The sequence below is a fragment of the Homo sapiens genome, chromosome 7 (assembly GCF_000001405.40).
Source record: "Homo sapiens chromosome 7, GRCh38.p14 Primary Assembly".
Classification (NCBI taxonomy): domain Eukaryota; kingdom Metazoa; phylum Chordata; class Mammalia; order Primates; family Hominidae; genus Homo; species Homo sapiens.
This window is the reverse complement of record NC_000007.14, coordinates 51,116,049-51,135,222: the sequence shown is the minus strand read 5'-3', so window position 1 is coordinate 51,135,222 and position 19,174 is coordinate 51,116,049. Positions and strand designations below refer to the sequence as shown.

The 19,174-nt window shown below is 42.2% G+C and overlaps 1 protein-coding gene across 23 annotated transcripts in view, besides 1 other annotated feature; it reads left to right on the top strand.

The window, feature by feature from the left end:
* COBL (cordon-bleu WH2 repeat protein) overlaps nt 1-19,174 on the top strand; it is a 300,598-nt gene that overhangs the window by 181,587 nt on the left and 99,837 nt on the right. The window lies entirely within an intron of this gene.
* Nucleotides 4,443-4,664: a silencer, noted in NCBI's record as "fragment chr7:51198256-51198477 (GRCh37/hg19 assembly coordinates)". NCBI's record gives its function as "represses an EF-1alpha promoter that drives an FKBP-Casp9 reporter gene in an ReSE screen in HepG2 liver carcinoma cells {active_cell/tissue: HepG2}" and the evidence as "EXISTENCE:reporter gene assay evidence [ECO:0000049][PMID:32094911]".

Genomic DNA, 19,174 nt, shown 5'->3' with positions numbered 1-19,174 from the left:
GGGAGGCCAAGGCAGGAGGATCACCTGAGGTCAGGAGTTCAAGACCAACCATGGCCAACATGGTGAAATCCCGTCTCTACTAAAAATACAAAATTAGCCAGGCATGGTGGTGCACGCCTATTGTCCCAGCTACTCAGAAGGCTGAGGCAGGAGAATTGCTTGAACCCAGGAGGCAGAGGTTGCAGTGAGCCAAGATCACGCCACTGCACTCTAGCCTGGGTGACAAGAGAGAAACTCTGTCTCAAAAATAAAAAATAAAAAAAAAAGGAATGTATACATATATCCTAATGTAACTGACTTATTTTGAGTTCTTCATGATATATTAGCTGTGTTTTCATAAAAATAAATTTAGGCACAAATGGTACCTTTTTGTTGTATGCATCCATGATAAGATGATGCAAATGGAAAACACAAAGCTATTTCTTCTGATTTTCTGCAGTGTGTCTCATTAATTTGCTTGGATGTAGATTCTGAACTTTTTTATAATATGCAGACCATATTGATAGCATTGGCCTTTCCCAGCTACATGCCCCTGGGAATATCTTTTTGCTTTGGCTTAGGATAGGTTTCTTTAGTTAGTAATAAAAAGTATGACTTCCAGGATCAATATTATGTCAGCTTTTTTCTTTTAATAAGAATTGTATTTTGTTAATGCGATAAAATGTAGATGGTGAACTGTACCAGCATTTTAAAAATTTCTTCCACCCAGAAGAGATGTTGTATTTTTCTGCATTTAATGTGCTTACCCACAGTGGATAAAGCCTGCTTGAGTGGGAAAATGTGCAGTAAGTAGAGAATTGGGAATTCTGAATGAAAAATAAATAGTACTTTATACCCTGTAGAATGAACAGAGTTTCCTCTGAGGCAGTAAAAGCTTTTTGCTGAAATCTGTTTTATTTGGCACAGAATGCGTGGAGAAATTGGCTCATGGAAACCATCTTCCTTTTTAAGCATATGAGTGGCATATGGATTAGATTTAAGCATTTGCTATGAACATGCTTTTTTAAACTGAAAGGTATTTTGTTATTTACTAATTTCTGGAAAAGGAACCCAAAAATGTATTGTCGTCGTTGTTGGGGAAGAACGTCAATTCCTTCTTCATGAACTTCCTTCCATATAAAGATAAGATGTTTGTTTGGGAAGCCTTATTTATATGCAACTGTTACTAACACCAGTGTCCTGAACAAGGAGGAAAGGTTCATTTTCAGGGACATGACTAGTTTGTAAGAAAATGAGAATGCCTACATTTGTATATTTTAAAATATTATTTTGTATCAACTAGTTTAAAAAATTCAATATTTGCTTCTTCAAGTCCTAACGGTGGGATAATATTAGCCATCCTCCAGTTCATCTGAAAATTTTCTAAAATTTGTAACCATAGTTAGTATTTGTCACCTGATTATGTATTCATAATTTGATCATGTGTGTTTATTATTTCTAAAGGTATTTTTTGAAGAGGTTTTCCCAGAGGTGTTAGAGCCTGGAGGTGACCGAATGCTCTTCTCAGATCCCATGGCTCTTCCCACAGTACTGTGAATGCAGCTTTTATTATGTGGAAACTTCAGACCAGAATGATTGATTGTACACATTAAGGCACCTTATGCTCTCAGGATTTCTGAGACTTGAGCGGGCATCAGATCACCCAAAGGGCTTGTTAAAACACATTTTCCTGGGCCCCACCTGAGCGCTGATTCAGTAGGTCTGGATGGGGCCTGAACATTTGCATCTTAAGTGCTGCCGCTCCGGTGAACCCCACTTTGAGAACCACCCCTTCATAGCAAACTACCTCCCTCAGCTGCTGGCTCTGAATTTTGACTACTCAAAGGCAACAGATCTGCTAAGAGATTCTTCAGTAGGAAAGTTACCTCAAAATGAATCCATCTGTGCTGTAGAATAATAATTATATGCAGTTTTCCATAAAGTTAGCTTAGGCCTAAAGTTATGTGTTAAAACACATCAGTAGCGTCCACTCCTTCTCACTGGGACCCAGGGAACCCTCATCTGGGAGGACAGACGAATTGTCTGTTCTGCACAGGATTTTCTTCCTGCTTCATCTCCTGGGGCCCACACTGTCCTCTCACCATCGTGCTGTGTAGAGACGGTGAACTCTCCCTTTGTCCTGGACCCTAGGCAGCTGCTGGAATTCTTGCTCGCTGCTCTTGCATTTGGGTTAGAGCCCCCTTCCTATACTGAGTGATATGGTTTGGATGTTTGTCCCCTCCAAATCTCATGTTGAAATGTGATCCCAGTTGGAGGTGGGGCCTGGTGGGAGGTGTTTGGGTCATGGAGATGGATCCCTCATGAATGGCTTGGTGCCATCCCCATGGGGATGAGTGAGTTCTCTCTCTGGTAGTTTACCTGAGATCTGATTGTTTAAAAGTGTGTGGCAGCCCCTCCGTCCTTGCTCCCTCTCTCACCATGTGACATGCCTAATCCGCCTTTGCCTTTCACCATGAGTAAAAGCTTCCTGAGGCCTCACCAGAAGGTGAGCAGATGCTGGCATCTGCTTCCCGTACAGTCTATGGAACCATGAGCCAATTAAACCCTTTTTCTTTGTAAATTACCCAGTCTCAGGTGTTTCTTTAGAGCAACACAGACTGACTAACACACCAAGTCTTTAGTAACCCATCCCGAAGGAGAGTTTGTTTTCCTCTTATTTGCTCATGGTTTCCTCACTTGTTCTGCTCTTGAGCCAGGATTAAGATTGTGAGTAGGGGCTGTCAACACAGATGCCTGGGTGGGCATCCCTCTGCTTATCTCCAGTCCTCAGTTTCCTCTGTAAAATGGGAACAGTAAGAACAGCACTAGCCAGTGATTGCTGTAGTGATCAGACATAGATCTCATGGCATTTGCCTGGGTTCCGATCCCAGCTTGGCCAGCAGTAGAAATGGGAGCTTGGATGAGATCACCCTTCTCTGTGCCTTGTGTCCTTAGGTGTGTGCTCTGCATAAAGCTGGGAGATGAGAGCTGGCCACAGTGCAGTGGGGGACAGAAGTAGCCAGCATGCCTAAAGCAGGGAGGGCTGGGCAGAGGGAATGAAGGGTCCATGGCCCCAGCCGGGGTTCTGTGTTAACCAAGTAGCAGATTATATTTAAAAATCAAATTTGCTGTTGCTGCAAATACCAAATGTACAATTAAAAAATCACCAAGGCGCTGCAGCAGGTTCATTCTGTTAAACAATACCAGCATCCTCTCCTCTGTTGGTGGTATTTTCCCTTCTCAGCCACAAACTACAAACACCCTACTCACTATTCCATACCTTCTGAGGATTCTAGAGAAGAGAGTTGCTCATCCCTTTCAGTCCTGATAGCTTCTGTTTAAGAAGAAAAATCACCGGGCATGGTGGCTCATGCCTGTAATCCCAGCACTTTGGGAGGCCAAGGTGGGCAGATCACAAGGTCAGGAGTTTGAGTTAAGCCCAGCCAACATGGTGAAACCTCATCCCTACTAAAAATACAAAAATTAGCTGGGCGTGGTGGCGGATGCCTGTAATCCCAGCTGCTTGGGAGGCTGAGGCGGGAGAATCACTTGAAACTGGAAGGTGGGGGTTGCAGTGGGCCGAGATCGTGCCACTGCACTCTAGCCTGGGCGAAAGAGTGAAACTCCATTTCAGAAAAAAAAAAAAAAAAGAAGAAGAATCAATTACTGTCAAGACACCCTTGTGTAGGGGACTCAGTTTACCTATTAAAGATTGACACAATACTCTATATTATTCTTGCTGGCATCTTTCTTTGTATAATACCTGGCATGTTACAGAGCAGGTTTTTAAAACTTTTTTGGTATTTCATTTAAGTGATTAAAAATAAGTAACTTGTGGAAGTTTACTAATCTGTGTTATCTAATTTTAGTTTTCATTATCCACAAATATATAATACATAGTTATTCATTTATTCAGTCAATATACAGTTATATGCTTACTTTTGTGCAGATACAACTATAAATCCATTTTTATTGTAATTGACAAGTAATTCAAAAATATTTTAAAGTTATTCCAGCTTTCTTTTTTCACTATTATTTGAATTATTGCTTTTATTATGTTCAACACTATAAAATTCCAACTTGAGAAGTCTGTTTCTCTGTGATCTCAAGATTATTGCATTGGGACTGAAATTGCTAGTGATGGTTGGCCATTAAAATAAGTGATGATGGAGGCTGTGTTATGATCAGTTATTAGTATAACCCAAAATAGACTTTTCTATGAAAAATTTGCTTGTGTATTCAATGAATATTGAATAACTGCTATGCACAAGGCCTTGCACTTGAAAGCATGAATTGGTATTTATTACTCTAATATCTCAGCACAGTGTATACATAAAAAGATAGTATTTCACACTGTGTGAAGACTGAGGACGATCTGTGTATGTTAGACATTTAATGGAAAGCATTATTACTTGAAGTTCCATTTCCTGGATCTGGTAACTAGAATAATACAGGAAGTGATAAAACTATGCTGACCAGACTCCCAAAGACACGTTTCATCAAGAACTGAAGTGTCCATTTGATCATCATCAGTCACTCTGGTGTGTTCTTGATCCTGTTCCGCAGAGAGGACACCCAGGGGGAGGCAGGTCCTGGCAGCCCCTGTACTGGGAAGGCCCTGAGAGCTGGGCTGCAGACCACTTGGCCAATGGATGCCAGACTCAAGTGTCCTCTCTGCATTTAGGCCTGATATTTTTTGCTTATTAAAATGAGCATTCTTATTTCCCATCTCTGTGAGCTGTGGTGTTGAGGTCATTGCAATACTCATCTTTGCAGACTTCTTCCTGCTGTCCTTCTCCTGGAGTGAAGTCTGCCTTCTGTTTCTTATCACATGGCTTGTGGTGGTGGTGAATTGGTTACTGATAAAGTGGATGATGCTTGGAGACATTGAAAAATTACTTTTCACACTAATTAGAGGGCTCTGATCTTTGCCGGGTGTGTCTCATGGCCACTCCTCAGCCAGTTGGCCTCCTGGAGTGCTTTGTTCGGAAGGAAGGACTCAGGTCGGCTGAGGCTCAGCAAAGTAGAGAGAGTCCTTCAGTTTACCATGCGCTCAGGAGGGGAGGATCATCTGGGCTCACCCAGAGTATGAGATGATGAGGACAGACTCTTTAGACCCACCTTGATGGTGTCTCTTCTTGTACACATCAACCACATCAACCTGTCAGGGAATCCTGCCTGTTTTCCTTTGAAGTGTATCCAGAATCCAGCCATTTCCCTTTGCTCCCACCTGCACTCCCGGGCTCAAGCACTCCCATGCCCCTCTGAGATGTTTCCTGGTGCACTGGCTTCCTAACTAGACCCTGCTTCTGCTCATGCTCCTCTACCCTGGAGAATCTTCTTTACACCTTCGCTAGAGCAACAGGTATCTAAACAGAGACAGGGTCATGTCATGCTTTAAAGCCTCTGCTGGCCTCACGTCACAGTTGACTGTGCCAGCTGCATCTCTCCTGCTTCTCCCCACACCCAGCAGAGCCTTTCACCTGCCTCTCCCTAGCATCCTGTTCACCTCCTCACTGCACCAGACCCTGCTTGGCAGTCACTGCATCCATGAAGTCTCGCTGGCCACCTCCACCCTCTGGTAACTGCCCCCTTCCCTGGTTTCAGGTTTCTTTCAGACCCTGCCAGACTAAGCTCAGGAAGCCAGGAATTCTGTGTTCCCTGACACACCTACAGTGTCTAACACTGTGCTCATTAAACCAGTAAATATTTATATGAACTTACTTTACGTGTACATGATTTATTTACCAAACATGTGTGGGTCATCTCTGCTGTGCTCTAAATGTTGGCGTCCTCCAAAACTCAGATGTCAGAATCCTAACTCCAAACATGATAATGTTTGGGGAGTGATGAGGTCATGAGGGTTGAACCTCATGATGGGATTAGTGTCCTTATAAAAGAGAGCCCAGAGAGCTCCCCCGCCCCTTCCACCATGTGAGCGCAAAGCAAGAAGGCGCCCTCTGAAGCAGGAAGCCGGCCCTCCAGACACAAGTCTGTCCACACCATGATCTTGGACTTCAGCCTCCAGAACTGTGAGAAATCAGCGTCTGTTGTTTATAAGCCTCCCAATCTATGGTATTTTGTTATGGCAGCCTGAAGGGACTAACACAGTTTCTCAGTGAAAAAAGCATGATTTCAAAATGTGCGCAAATAGCGAAAGAATTGCTTTCCTCAAGGATGTGACAGAATTTAAGGAATAAGTCATGGCAACTTTGATGAGGACTTGGAATATTTACTCCTCACTAAGAAAAAGAGTTGTAAATGGGCCATGAAAAGTGCGAGTGCCAGAGCTAGAGAACGATCTTATTTCCCTCAGTGCGAGGTCGGGCAGGGACAGTCTGTCTGGGCACAGGTAGGAGTAAGGGCACAAGCAGGCCCATTTGCAGTTTGCATGCCACCTCTCAGACCAGAGCTGCTGCTGCTGCTGCTGGAATGGCCAGGGAGGCACCTGCCCACCCGCCCTTAGGAGGGCCAGAGCACATGGGGGTGCATGGCACAGCACTGTCTTATGGAGCCTCCTTGAGGGGCTTGAGGGGCACAGGACCCTGGCAGCAGAGGGGAGGCCGCAGGAGCAGCCGTGTGGGCTGGAGGCTGACATTGCCACTTATCACACAGTGAGCGGCCGAGCTTCTGCTTTCTGTAAATGGGTGCAATGGCCACACAAAATATGAAGATAAGGTGGGAGGATTCTTCAGCACCTGCTCCCCGCCCCTCCCTCTCATTTCTCTCCCCTCCCCGCTCTGTGTTTGGTGCTTTTCTGCATCTGAGATTTTTTTTCTCTTAGCTATCTGGCTGTCTTTTTAAATTCCCTTCACTCAGTTTGGTCTTCCAATGTCTCTTAACCATGTCTCTTTAAAATACACACACACACATACACGCACACATATCCCACTTACTTTGCTGTGCATAAAATGTCTCCCCATGACTTGTTAGATCTAACCCTCACAGCCATCCTGGCATCCTTGCTAATTATGATGTCTGTTGTTATCTGAGTTGTGGAAACTGAGTCTCAGACCAGGCTGAGCTGCATGTCAGAGATGCCTGCAAAAGAAGAGCAAAGAAGTAAATCTGGGTTTAGAGCAGGGACACTTTCCCTCTACAACTTTGTATGGGATGAATAAAAACCTTAGGGAGGAAGAAGGTGTCGCCATCAAGGTGGGGTTTCTATGTATCCAGGGACCCATCTTAGAGTTTAACATACTTCAGATCATATACACAAACTAGCTGCCAAGACTTTCTTTCAGATGTGGCAGAAGTTTTCCCACTTCCTCCACTGTGAACTGAATAACCCAGCTTCATATTCTGGAATACCGTGGGAGCACTCTGTTTCCTTTTAATGTTATAGTGTCCATCCTCCAGTGAAGGTCAAGAACAATGAGTGGTATTACCATTTTGTGTTTTGCCAGCGGTTGGTAACTCAATGGCACATTGTTCTGTCCCCCAAAAGAGCTGAGGGAGTCCGGATCACCCCTTTGCTCTCTGGGACTGCTCTTAAGTAAAACACCCCCAGCCTTCACACACCCAGCCTTCAGGCCAGAGGGAGGTTTCCTTTATAGCCACGCCCCCCAGACTTTTCAGCTTCTTTTGTGTGTTTGTTCCTATGTCTTTTGGGGCCTATTGTGAATGCTTTAGTCTTTCAGAAAGTCAAAAGTCTGCCTTGAACACAAGGCCACCGTACACTCTGTTCCCACAACAACATCCTTTCCCCGACCTCATACATTTTTGTCCAAAGCAAAATGCAGCCAGTGACTTCTGTACAGGAACCTGCACCCTCCCCAGTTGCGTCTGTCCCTGTAGCAGAGGGAAAAATACTCTTGGTTTGTTCCCTGTTCTTCTGGGTTCCAGAATTCTTTCCAAAGTCATAAGTCATGCTCCGCTGTTTAGTTGTGGGCAGCAGCCTAACAAGCTGGGGACTTGGGTGTCTGTCACATCAGTGGCCCCGTCCCCCCTGCTGGCATGATGAGCTCTTTCAAGAAACCGGACTCTGGGTGTAGCTCACGTTTGTGACTTTCCAGTTCTGTGTCTTTGTAGCAGCCACCCATGTTGTCACTCATCTCGTAGTACTCCTTGGAGAAGGTAGTGATAGACGGATATGAGGTGGGACCACAAGCGACGAGGTTGAGACAGATCCAGGGCCCTCCACGTCCCACGGCCTTGAGCACACAGCTTGTATTTGCCATCCACTTGGCTGACTCCCCAGCTTGGGACCGTGACTTGTTCCCCGTGGTGTCCCCAGTCATAAGCATATGCCTGGTGTGTGGTGGACCCTCAGTAGACATTTATGAGCGGGTGAACATGGCCTCAATGTCAGACAGCTAAGGAGGCTCATGCGAGACGAATGGGCCATTGTCTTTCTGGAGGGAGGTCTCTGGTGACACTGAAGAGGGGGAGCACCTTGAATTAACCAGCGACTTGGATGATGTTCTGCTACAGCTGCAGGGTTTGGTGAATGGAGAGCAAATAGGGCAGCATTAGGGTCCAGAGTGGTTCCCTAAGCCAGGCAGATCCTCTGGGAGATGACATTTGGGAGGGGTGAGTGACTCAGACTCTCAGGGTCTCTGACGACGTCCAGATCAGTCACTTCCTTGCTACACATGCCATGGACTGTGAATGAGAGGAGTCCCACGTCCAGGTCCAACCCAGGCTCCTCCATGTACCTCAGTCCAAGGCTGACCCCAGAAGCCCTTCAATTTCAAGTCTAAGAATGAGGGTGCCCTGATAAATGGCACACCCAAGAAGGGCACTCAGGCAGTTTGGTGGGGCTAGGAGCCAGTGAAGGCTGTGAAAGGGGTACAGTGGCCCAGCCTGTCCTAACAGAAGCATGAAGATCAGGATGAGGGTGGGGTGGTGCCGCTCTATTCGGTGCTGGCCACATCTGTTCCTTCAGTGAGTAGGTCTCTGAACACTTTTTTTTTTGAGACGGAGTCTCGCTCTGTTGCCCAGGCTGGAGTGCAGTGGCACTATCCTGGCTCACTGCAAGCTCCACCTCCCAGGTTCAAGCGATTCTCCTGCCTCAGCCTCCCATACTGCTGGGATTGCAGGCGCATGCTACCACGGCTGGCTAATTTTTATATTTCTAGTTGAGATGGGGTTTCGCCATGTTGGCAAAGCTGGTCTTGAACTCCTGACCTCAAGTAATCTGTTCACCTCGGCCTCCCAGAGTGCTGGGATTACAGTGTGAGCCACCACACTCAGCCTGAACACCATATTTTAAGAGAAAAAAACTAAAAGGCATTCAGAGGAGAACATTCTTGGAATCGAAGCGTCTAGAAGTTACCATCCCTTACTTAAACGATATAGAAATTACAAAATTTTAGCTGAAAAATGGAAAGATTCACTGGGAAACAATCGCTACATCCAGATGTTTAATTTCTGTCCCAAGACAGTGGGGTGACGTCTCAGTGCCCCAGAAGACAGGACTTGAATGAGTACGCGGATGTTCTGAAAACATTTGTTTTAGTTGACTATAGAAAAAAAATTTCTCTCAGGCCATATTGGGGCAAGAGAGCTATGAATATGTGGGGAAAGTGCCACGTGGCAGTTATATTTAGTGTTTTCCTATAGTATCTTATTTAATCCTTCCCAAATCCCCACAAGATAGGGACTGTCATCTCTGTTTTATAGGTGATAGGGCACAGAGAGGCTGAGTGATTGCCCGGCTCCATGACAGTTTGTAAAACAGAAGACCAAGTCTAAAACATAGTCTGGAGGAGTAGATCATAGTTTGAATTTTTACAAGCATAATTACTGCCTTAACATTTAAGTGAAAGGGTGTGTAAGTTTTCTAGGGCTGCCAAAACCTAAATACCGCCGACTGGGTGGTTTCAACAGAAATTTATTTCTCACAGTCCTGGAGGCTGGAAGTTCAAGACCAAGGTGTCAGCAAGGTTGGTTCCTCCTGAGGCTCCTCCTTGGCTTGCAGACAGCTGTCTTGCTGCCGTGGCCTTGCAGGGCCTTTGTGGTACCTGTGCATCCCAGGTGTCCCTTCCTCTTCTTATAAGTACAGTCATATTGGATTAGAGCCTACCTTAATGACCTCATTTTAATTTAGTTACTTCTTTAGAGGCCCCATCTCCAAATATAGTCACACACTGGGGATTAGGGCTTCAACACACAAATTTTGGTGGGAGAGGCCAGGCACCGTGGCTCACGCCTGTAATCCCAGCACTTTGGGAGCCTGAGGCTGATAGATCACTTAAGGTCAGGAGTTCAAGACCAGCCTGGCCAAATGGGAAAACCTTGTCTCTACTAAAAATACGAAGAAATTAGCTGGATGTGGTGGCATATGCCTGTAATCCCAGCTACTCAGGAAGCTGAGACACGAGAATCACCTGAACAGAGGTTGCAATGAGCTGAGGTCACGCCGCTGCACTCTAGCCTAGGCAATAGAGTGAGACTCTGTCAAAGAAAAAACAAAAATAAAGAAAGAAAGAAAGAAAAAAAATTGGAAACAAATTCAGATCATAACAAAGGAAAATGGGGTTCCTGTCTACAGGCAGAATAGTTTCCATGAGGAACTGAAGGGTGTGTAAGACTCAGCCCTTTGAAGGCACTCAGCACTGAATTGGAGCACTTTATGTCCCCAAAATACAGAGAACGCTTGTCTTTTGGGTAGATTACGACATAGGTGTCCAGGACAGTGGCAGCAGCCGTCGCCATGGGAAGTTCCCACTAGCAACATTAGTTTGTATGGTTCCAGTCTAATTCCCATCCCAGAGAAGCCATCAGTGTTGGAAAGGCCATCTCATTCCAGTTGGGAGCCAGAGATACACTGGGTGAGGGTGTCACTTCCAAATTCTTTCTTGGTAAGTGGCATGCAACTCATGGAAGAAGTCCAAGCAGACAGAAGTTATTCATCTCTGCTGGTCATATTTTAATTGCTAAATCAATTGGAGATTGCTAATCTCCAATTGCTAATGAATTAGATTGCTAATGAAAGGCCATTGTGCCAGACAAATTGCATGTGGAAGTACACTGGCCAGCAGGAAGACAGCAAAGGCACCGTCATCCAGTCGTCGGCCAACTGGTCCCATGATGCAGGTCCCAAGTTAAGCACAATAGCAATTAGAGAGACCCAGCAACAGTTCAGTTCTTCTTGCATCCCAGGCACTCTGCTAGGACTTTTATGCACATCATCTCATATAACTTCATCTTTACAATATCCTTATAAGGCAGGTTCTGTTATCTTCATTTTACCAATGAGGACACTGAGGTTTACAAAGGGAAAGTGAGGTCCCAGGGCTGCTACTACTGCCAGTAAGCAACAGAATATGGGCCTGTCTGATGTCTTTTCTGCATGGAGCCATCATGCATTGATGCTGATTCAATCCAAGAGAGTTGTGTAACACTTGGCAGAGGGGGGTGCAGGGTGACTGTGGCTCTGCAGCCTCTGCCTGGGGTGATGTGGGTGAGGAGGTGGCATGGTGCTGTCACATGGCGTAGCACTGCAATGAGTCACTTCAACATGATCTTGTTAGACATAGAGATTCTGAAATGAAGAAAATGTTTGACTCATTTACTCGTCATTGACAGGGAAGTCATGCATTTGCTGGTTGAGAATCAAAACTCAAAGATTTAAAAACAATTGTATGCATCTTCTTGAAGGAAAAATGTACCCCTGCTCCATCATTCACAGCCTCCTTGAATTTTTCACTGGAGTGTTTTCTTAGCACTGTCTGTTCATGGTGCTCTTTCTCAGCAGCCTGTTCTGCTTGTGCAGAAAGTCCTACTGCAGTTGAAACATCCTGGCAGAAAATGAAAGAATTGGTTCACCTCCACACATGGCCTCTTGTCAAAAAAATTAAGCAAAACTGGCAAGTTAGCGACAAGGGATACAAGGCTCTTGTTCTGTAGAACTCTGTTCCCTTGATGGAACTACTTAGTAAATGGGGTTAACTTCATCAGGCTAGCCAGCTCCAAATATACATAAACTCAAGAAGTCTGGAACCCATGTCAAATTCATGTTAAAAGGCATGAACTGCCAAGCCATTACTGTAGGCATAGCCAAATACATTGTAAATATATCTGTCAGTTTTGCTCAGATACGGATATCTGCCTGTTTTTTGAGATGCTTCCTTTTGTTTTGGCTTTACCCAACTTCCAAAAATCTGTCTGTCTGCTCATACAGTATGTTATGAGACTTTAAAAGTCTTGATAGGGACAACAAATAAAACAAGTAGGATTCTTTCAGGCCTAACTAAACTGTCTTTGAGTCTACATTTTACAAAAATAATTATGTCATTCAATTTTTTTTTTTTTTTTGAGATGGAGTCTCGCTCTGTCGCCCAGGCTGGAGTGCAGTCAGTGGTGCGATCTCAGCCTACTGCAGCCTCCTCCTCCTGGGTTCAAGCGATTCTCCTGCATCAGCCTCCTGAGTCGCTGGGATTATAGCCATGCGCCACCATGCCCTGCTAATTTTTGTGTTTGTAGTAGAGACAGGGTTTTGCCATGTTGCACAGGCTGGTCTCGAACTCCTGACCTCAGGTGATCCACCAACCTCGGCTTCCCAAAGGGCTGGGATTACAGGTGTGAGCCACTGTGCCTGGCCTGACATTTAAATGTTAAATGTGCCAGATGTAAAGCATATCTGCCATTTTAGTAAATTAACAAAACTAGCAAAGAGCTAAATAACTGAATTGATACTAATGCATTTTGTAATAAACAGCCAAGTATAGGTTGTATTTATATTCTACAATGTGGAGACGAAAAAACAACACTTATGATGGTACAAAACAACCTTTCTAAAAATACTGGGGAAATAGAAGTGCTGCAGAGATCATCTCTGGCGTCCAGCTGCCTCCTCCCATCCTGGAGATGGTGAAGATGAGGACAGCATTGTGTTCAGAGGCACAAAGGAAGCCGAGTTCCTGTCCGACACAAACATCCCTGGGAACCTGTGGCACCTCCCACTGCAGAGCCTGTGAAAACAGCCAGGCTGCAAGGATCCTCCTTGGTGGAAATAGCCGGGCAGCTAACGCCAGTGTGCAGAGAAAGGAAGCTGGAGCTATTTTAGTTGCTTAACGTCTACCTTTTGTTTGTGGATCGTTTCCTCTCTGACACTTGTGGCTAAAGAAGCAAGTGTTGTTTGAAGGAGATTAGAGTCTTAAGTATTTTTAACACTCACTAGAGTGTGACATTGTATGGGAGCTCTCTGTGATAAAATCAAAATGAAAGGTGAGCTCGCCACTCTCCTGCACGTTGACAGTTTAGCAACATGGAGGAAGTGGGAAGCTGGCTTTGTGTTAGAGAGTTATGCTGTTCAAATATCCATCATTTAAGTATGCTGTTCTTATCCTTGTACTTCGTCATACTTTGTCACTTTGGTTTTGCCTGTCAGTCACGTCAACAGTCAGTATGTTTTTCACTATGAAGGGAAACTGCTGGAAGAGTGAGTTCATTATTTCTCTCACCTTTACATTTTGCAACTTTATATGTATATTCATGATTCTGTCCAGCCACCTTGATAATCCACAATCAGAAAAGTGGGTTTTCAAATATAAATCAGGATTTTAAATTTGCAGCAGTGTAAAAAGATCCAATTCCTGTCTTTGAGGCACTGTTCAGGATTTGGAAACTGAAGCTGGGTGCAGAGCCTCCTAGGCACCATCTCGTCTTGAACTTACATTCTGAACTCAGCCTTGACTGCTCTGGGTTCATTGTGGTTAACTAACCTTCAGCTTCAAAGACATTTGATTTACTCCTCAACCAAACTTACAAAATTTTAGTATCTGCAAAGCTTTTACTTTTGTGCACCAAAGGACACAGTCAACAGATTAAAAAGGCAACCCGCAGAATGGGAGAAGATATTTGCAAATTATGTATGTGATAAGGGATGTGTTGTATGGAGAACTCCTTCAACTCAACAACAAAAAACAAACAACTCAATTAAAAAATGAGCAAAGGGCTTAAATAGACATTTCTCCAAAGAAAATATACAAGTCAGCAAGCACATGAAAAGATGCTCAGCATCACTAATCGTAAGAGAAATGCAAATCAAAACCACAATGAGATACCATCTCATACCCATTAGGATGGCTGCTATGAGAAAAAACACAAAAGAAAAGATGCGTTGGCGGGGATGTAGAGAAATTGGAACCCTTGTGCATTGTTGGTGGGAGTGTAAAATGGTGCAGCCACTGTGGAAAACAGTATGACAGGTCCTCAGAAAATCCAAAATAGAATTCCCCATAGGATCTAGCAATTTCACTTCCGGGCATATATCCAAAATAATTGAAAGCAGGGCCTCAGACAGATACCTGTACACCCATGTTCATCGCAGCATGATTCATAATAGCTGAAACATGGAGGTAACACAGGTGTCCATCGATGGATGAATAGATAAACTGTGGTTTGTTCATTTGTTTACAATGAAATATTATTCTGTAATAATACAAAAATAAATACTTAAACATTTAAAAGGAAGGAAATTTTGATACATGCATCATCATGGATGTACCTTGAAGACATCATGCTAAGTGAAACAAGCCTGTCACAAAAAGACAAATACACAAATGCCATGTGATTCCACTTAGATGAGGCACTTACAGTAGTCAGATTCATGGAGACAAAAAGTAGGATGATGGTTGCCAGGGCCTGGGGGGTGGGAATTGGGGAGTTATTGTGGGATGGGTAGAGTTTCAGTTTTACAAGATGAAAAGAGTTTTGGAGATTGGTGGCACAACAATGTGAATGTACTTAACACTACTGAACTGTACAATTAAAAGTGGTTAAGATGGTAAATTTTATAGTATGTGTATTTACCATAATTAATGATAAAATTTAAAAAATTATTTAACCACTTCCTTTAAAAGGTATAACCTTAAGTAAGATCTTTTTACTTAAATATGGTAAATATAGTTTCTCCAAATGCCTTACGTGTGTTATATTTTTGAGTAAAATATTTTCAGTGAACCTAAGAAGGTTCACTGATGCCTGAAACATTTTTAGTGGGTAAATTTATTTGACAGTGAAATAACTTATATTTTAGGCCATTTACCCTCCCTCTCCATGTATTTTCTTTCTCCTTTGTATGTTATACCATTTGACAACACTGTTTTGACCCCCTTGTTTGATCCTTGCAAGCTAGAGTTATAAAGGATTCTGTTGTTTTCTATTTTTTCTATACTACCATATTTATTATATTTACTTATTTCAATATATTAAGATTGCCAAACAGGACTGTGGCCAAAAATCTGAAAGCATGTAGCATATCTTTGCTGAGGGAGCCAACAATTAAGAACAGACATCTTGTATTTAATGAGATCTACTGGTTTAGAGGCTGTGTGGTCTGTCTCATCCTTTCACAACTTCTGTACAACTTTGGGCAAGTCACTCAAAAGGACTTGCCAATCAACTTTTCTGAGTTCTATTTCCTTAGAAGTCAAATAATATCCTTACCTATCTACTTAACTAAGGTTTTGAAGAGTTAATGTATTAATAGAATTTGTAATAGTACTTACAAAAATAGTAAAGATTTTCAAATATTTTAAGTCCTATATTGATGAATATTTTTAAGTGAATGGTTTTGTCATGGGAATAATTTGGTGAACATCTAAATAATATTTGACCCGTTGATGTGGAGGACCACACAGGCTTACTATAAAGACTTGAATTCCACAGACATTTGACCTGTATTTGTGATACAAAAATCTTGTTTTTCCTCTTAAAAACTTTACTTACTACCCAGTTTCCATATTAGAGAAGCTCGTGGTGCAGTGTCTAATTTTAGAGGAAAAGGGCCTTGAATCATGAACACAGCTTCGCTCCCTCCTCCTTTTACTTTACAAACACAGGCCCAAGGTAAATGGACTTCCCTCACAAGCCAGCTGTGAGTTTGTTTGTCAAAAATAATTTGGTTCCCTTGGTTCTTAGAGGATGATGGTTTTATAGCTGTTACTTACAAAACCAATGTTTCCCTTAGTATTGAGCTACCTCTTTATTTAAACTATTAGAAAATGTGTCGCCATATATATCACTAGGATATATATGGTAATGAGAACCTAGATTAGGTAGCCTAAATACTATGGTACCTTAGAAGAGGTAATAATATCACCAGGGAAACTTAGTTTATAACCAAACTGACAGAATCTCTGTATTTGTCAGATAATGTCCCTGTAACTTTGGTAGGTATGTTTTAACCTTTTTATGTGTCTGAATTAAACTGTGTCATTTGTAAAACTTTCCTATGTGATGTAATCTCTGGTGACTTTAATTGTATATTAGAAAATAAGATGTTTTCAAGTGACTCTGGGACTGAGGAAACTAATTTTATATTTGGGTATTTTGAGCTGCAGACATGGGTCTGACATCCCACATGGCTGCAGGAAAGCTGGACAGCATCGATTTGCAGATACTGTGCTCTGGCTGTGGATTCCTCTCTGTGGCTGGGTCCAGCCTGCTCCAGCAGTGTAGAGCGTAGTTTGCTTGTTGAATGTAGGAGGGATATTTGGAGGACATAGGCTTTGCCTGGATTTGAATCCATCCCAGACTCCACCAACACTAACCTATACAACCTTGGGGAAGTTATTGAACCTCCAAGGGCCCCAGATTATAGAAGCGTAAAACATACTTTTGGTCTTCGTGACCAACACACCCTAATGTGACACCCCTCCCCCTCTCCCCCCCAGTGATTCACATCCTTGTATGAGCCCTTCTCCTTGAGTGAATTGGAATTTGGAACTTGCTTCTAACTTACAAGATATGGCAAAGATGATGGGATGTCACTCCCTGTGATTATAAAAGATTGTGAAATGCAGGTGGCCCCTAGGATGCGAGGATTGTCTCTGCTTAACAGTCAGTAAAAGGCCAAGTCTCTCAGTCTTGAACCCGCCAGAGAAGCAATTTTCAACAACCCCACTGAGCCTTCCCAATCAAACCTCCAGATAGAAACACAGCCTGCTGACACCTTGATTGCAGCCTTGTGAGACCCTGAGCAGAGGACCCGGCTAAGCCATGCTTGGACTCCCAACCGCTGGAAACTGAGATAACAAATGTGTGTGTTTGTGTTTAAACTACCAAGCTAATGGTAATGTGATATGCAGCAACAGAAAATTAATACAGTAGTCAATAGATTATATGTAAACTCAGGAAAGTAACTTGTGGTGCCCATTTGTTCTAGCCTAATTCAGAACTATGTGGCCAGAATTCAGGACAGCCACCGCCCTCTGGAAAGTGAGGAAAGAATACTAGAAAGGAGAAAGCCAGAGAGGGACAGCCATAAATTCTGTGGATAAATTCTGGCTAAATCTCTGGCTCAGCCTTGAACCATGCATGAAAAGGACAGATACCAAGCAGCCTGGCTAAGAACTAAAGAGCTGAACTGAGATTTGATTGCTGCTCAAGAAACAGGACTTAAAGTGAATCCAGTCAGCTTATTATTGCCCGTGAAGACAAAGTAATTTACAGTCTCCTGAGGAATATGAGGGAATCTAGAACCTCCTAAGCATAACACTCAACAATGTCCAGGATGCAGGCCAAAATTATTTAACATATGAAGAACCAGGAAAATGCGACCTATTCGAAAATGTGAAAAAGATAGTCAATAGAAACCAATCTGTAGATGACTGAGATGTTGGAATTAGCAGATAAGAATTTTACGACTGCTTGTAACTGTGGTAACAACATAATGGGAAATATGCTCATAATGAATGAAAAAAAGAAAAAATCTCATATGGTTAATAAGAACTATAAATAAGAACCAAGTAGAAATTCTAGAATGGAAGAACACAATAGCCAATATAAAAATTTCACTGATGGGCCCAACAACAGAATGAAGGTAACAAAAGAAAAAGGCAGTGAAGTTGAAAATAAATCAATTTGAAATATCCAGTTTCAAGAAGAAGAGAAAAATTTTGGAAAAAAAAGTAGATCCCCAAAGATTTATTTTTTCTATTTATTTATTTTTTCTTTTTATTCTGGGACTCTATTGACTCCAGAATAAGAAGAGAAAAAAATATTTGAAAAAACAAGGGCCAAAAGTTTTTTACATTTTGTGAGACAAAATTTACAAATTAAAGAGGTTTGGTGAATCCAAATCAAAATAAATAAGAAGAAAACTGTGCATAGCTACATAGGTACTTTATAATGAAATTACTTAAAAATAGACTTAAGGAGAAAATCTTATACACAAGTAGAGAAAAATGCCATATTTTGTGCAGGGGGAGGGGGGAGGGATAGCATTAGGAGATATACCTAATGTAAATGACGAGTTAATGGGTGTAGCACACCAACATGGCACATGTGTACATATGTAACAAACCTGCACGTTGTGCACATGTACCCTAGAACTTAAAGTATTATTAAAAATATATATATAAAAGAAAGTGAATCACTTTATCATCAGAAACAGTAGAATCTGGGTAACAATGGGACATCTTTAAAGTGCTGAAGAGACAAAACAACTGGTAATTCAGAATTACCTACCCAGCAAAAATATCCTTCAAGGATAAGGCAAAATAAAGACATTTTCAAATAAAATATAAAGAATTGCCATTAGACCTCCATAAAAGAAACACTTAACAGAAATTCTTCAGGCTGAAGATAAATGATATCAGATGGAAACTTGGACTCTTAGAAAGACATAAAGAGTGTCAGAAATGGTACATAGCTAGATAAACATAAAAAAACTATTTTTTCTCTTAATTTCTTTCCAATATATGTGATATATTTCTTTCCAAAATATATAAGATTACTTCCAATATATGTGATTGCTTAAAAATTATAATATTGTCTTTGGGGTTTATAATCTCTATAAGTGTAATACATAAGACAACTATAGCATAAAGCATGGAAGGGCTGGGTAAATGGACCTATGTGATTGTAAGTTATCCACATTTGATGTGAAGGGTTATAATACTTAATCTAATTTGACTGTAAAAGTTGAGCACACATATTATAATTGTTGGAACAACCATTAAACCAAATAATGCAAAGAGGTACAACTAATCCAGTGGTTAAATTTTTAAAACCCAAAAGTAAAGTAAGAACAGAGAAACAATAAACAGGAGCAACAACAGGAAACAAACTGGTTTATCTAAATTCAGCCATATCAATAATTACATTAAATGTTAACAGACTAAACACTCCAGTTAAAAGGTAGAGATTGTCAGAATGGATAAGAATGTTGTCTATAAGAACCTATTTTGAATAAAAAGACAGATACTGATTAAAAGTGAATGGGTAGAAAAGGATACCATTT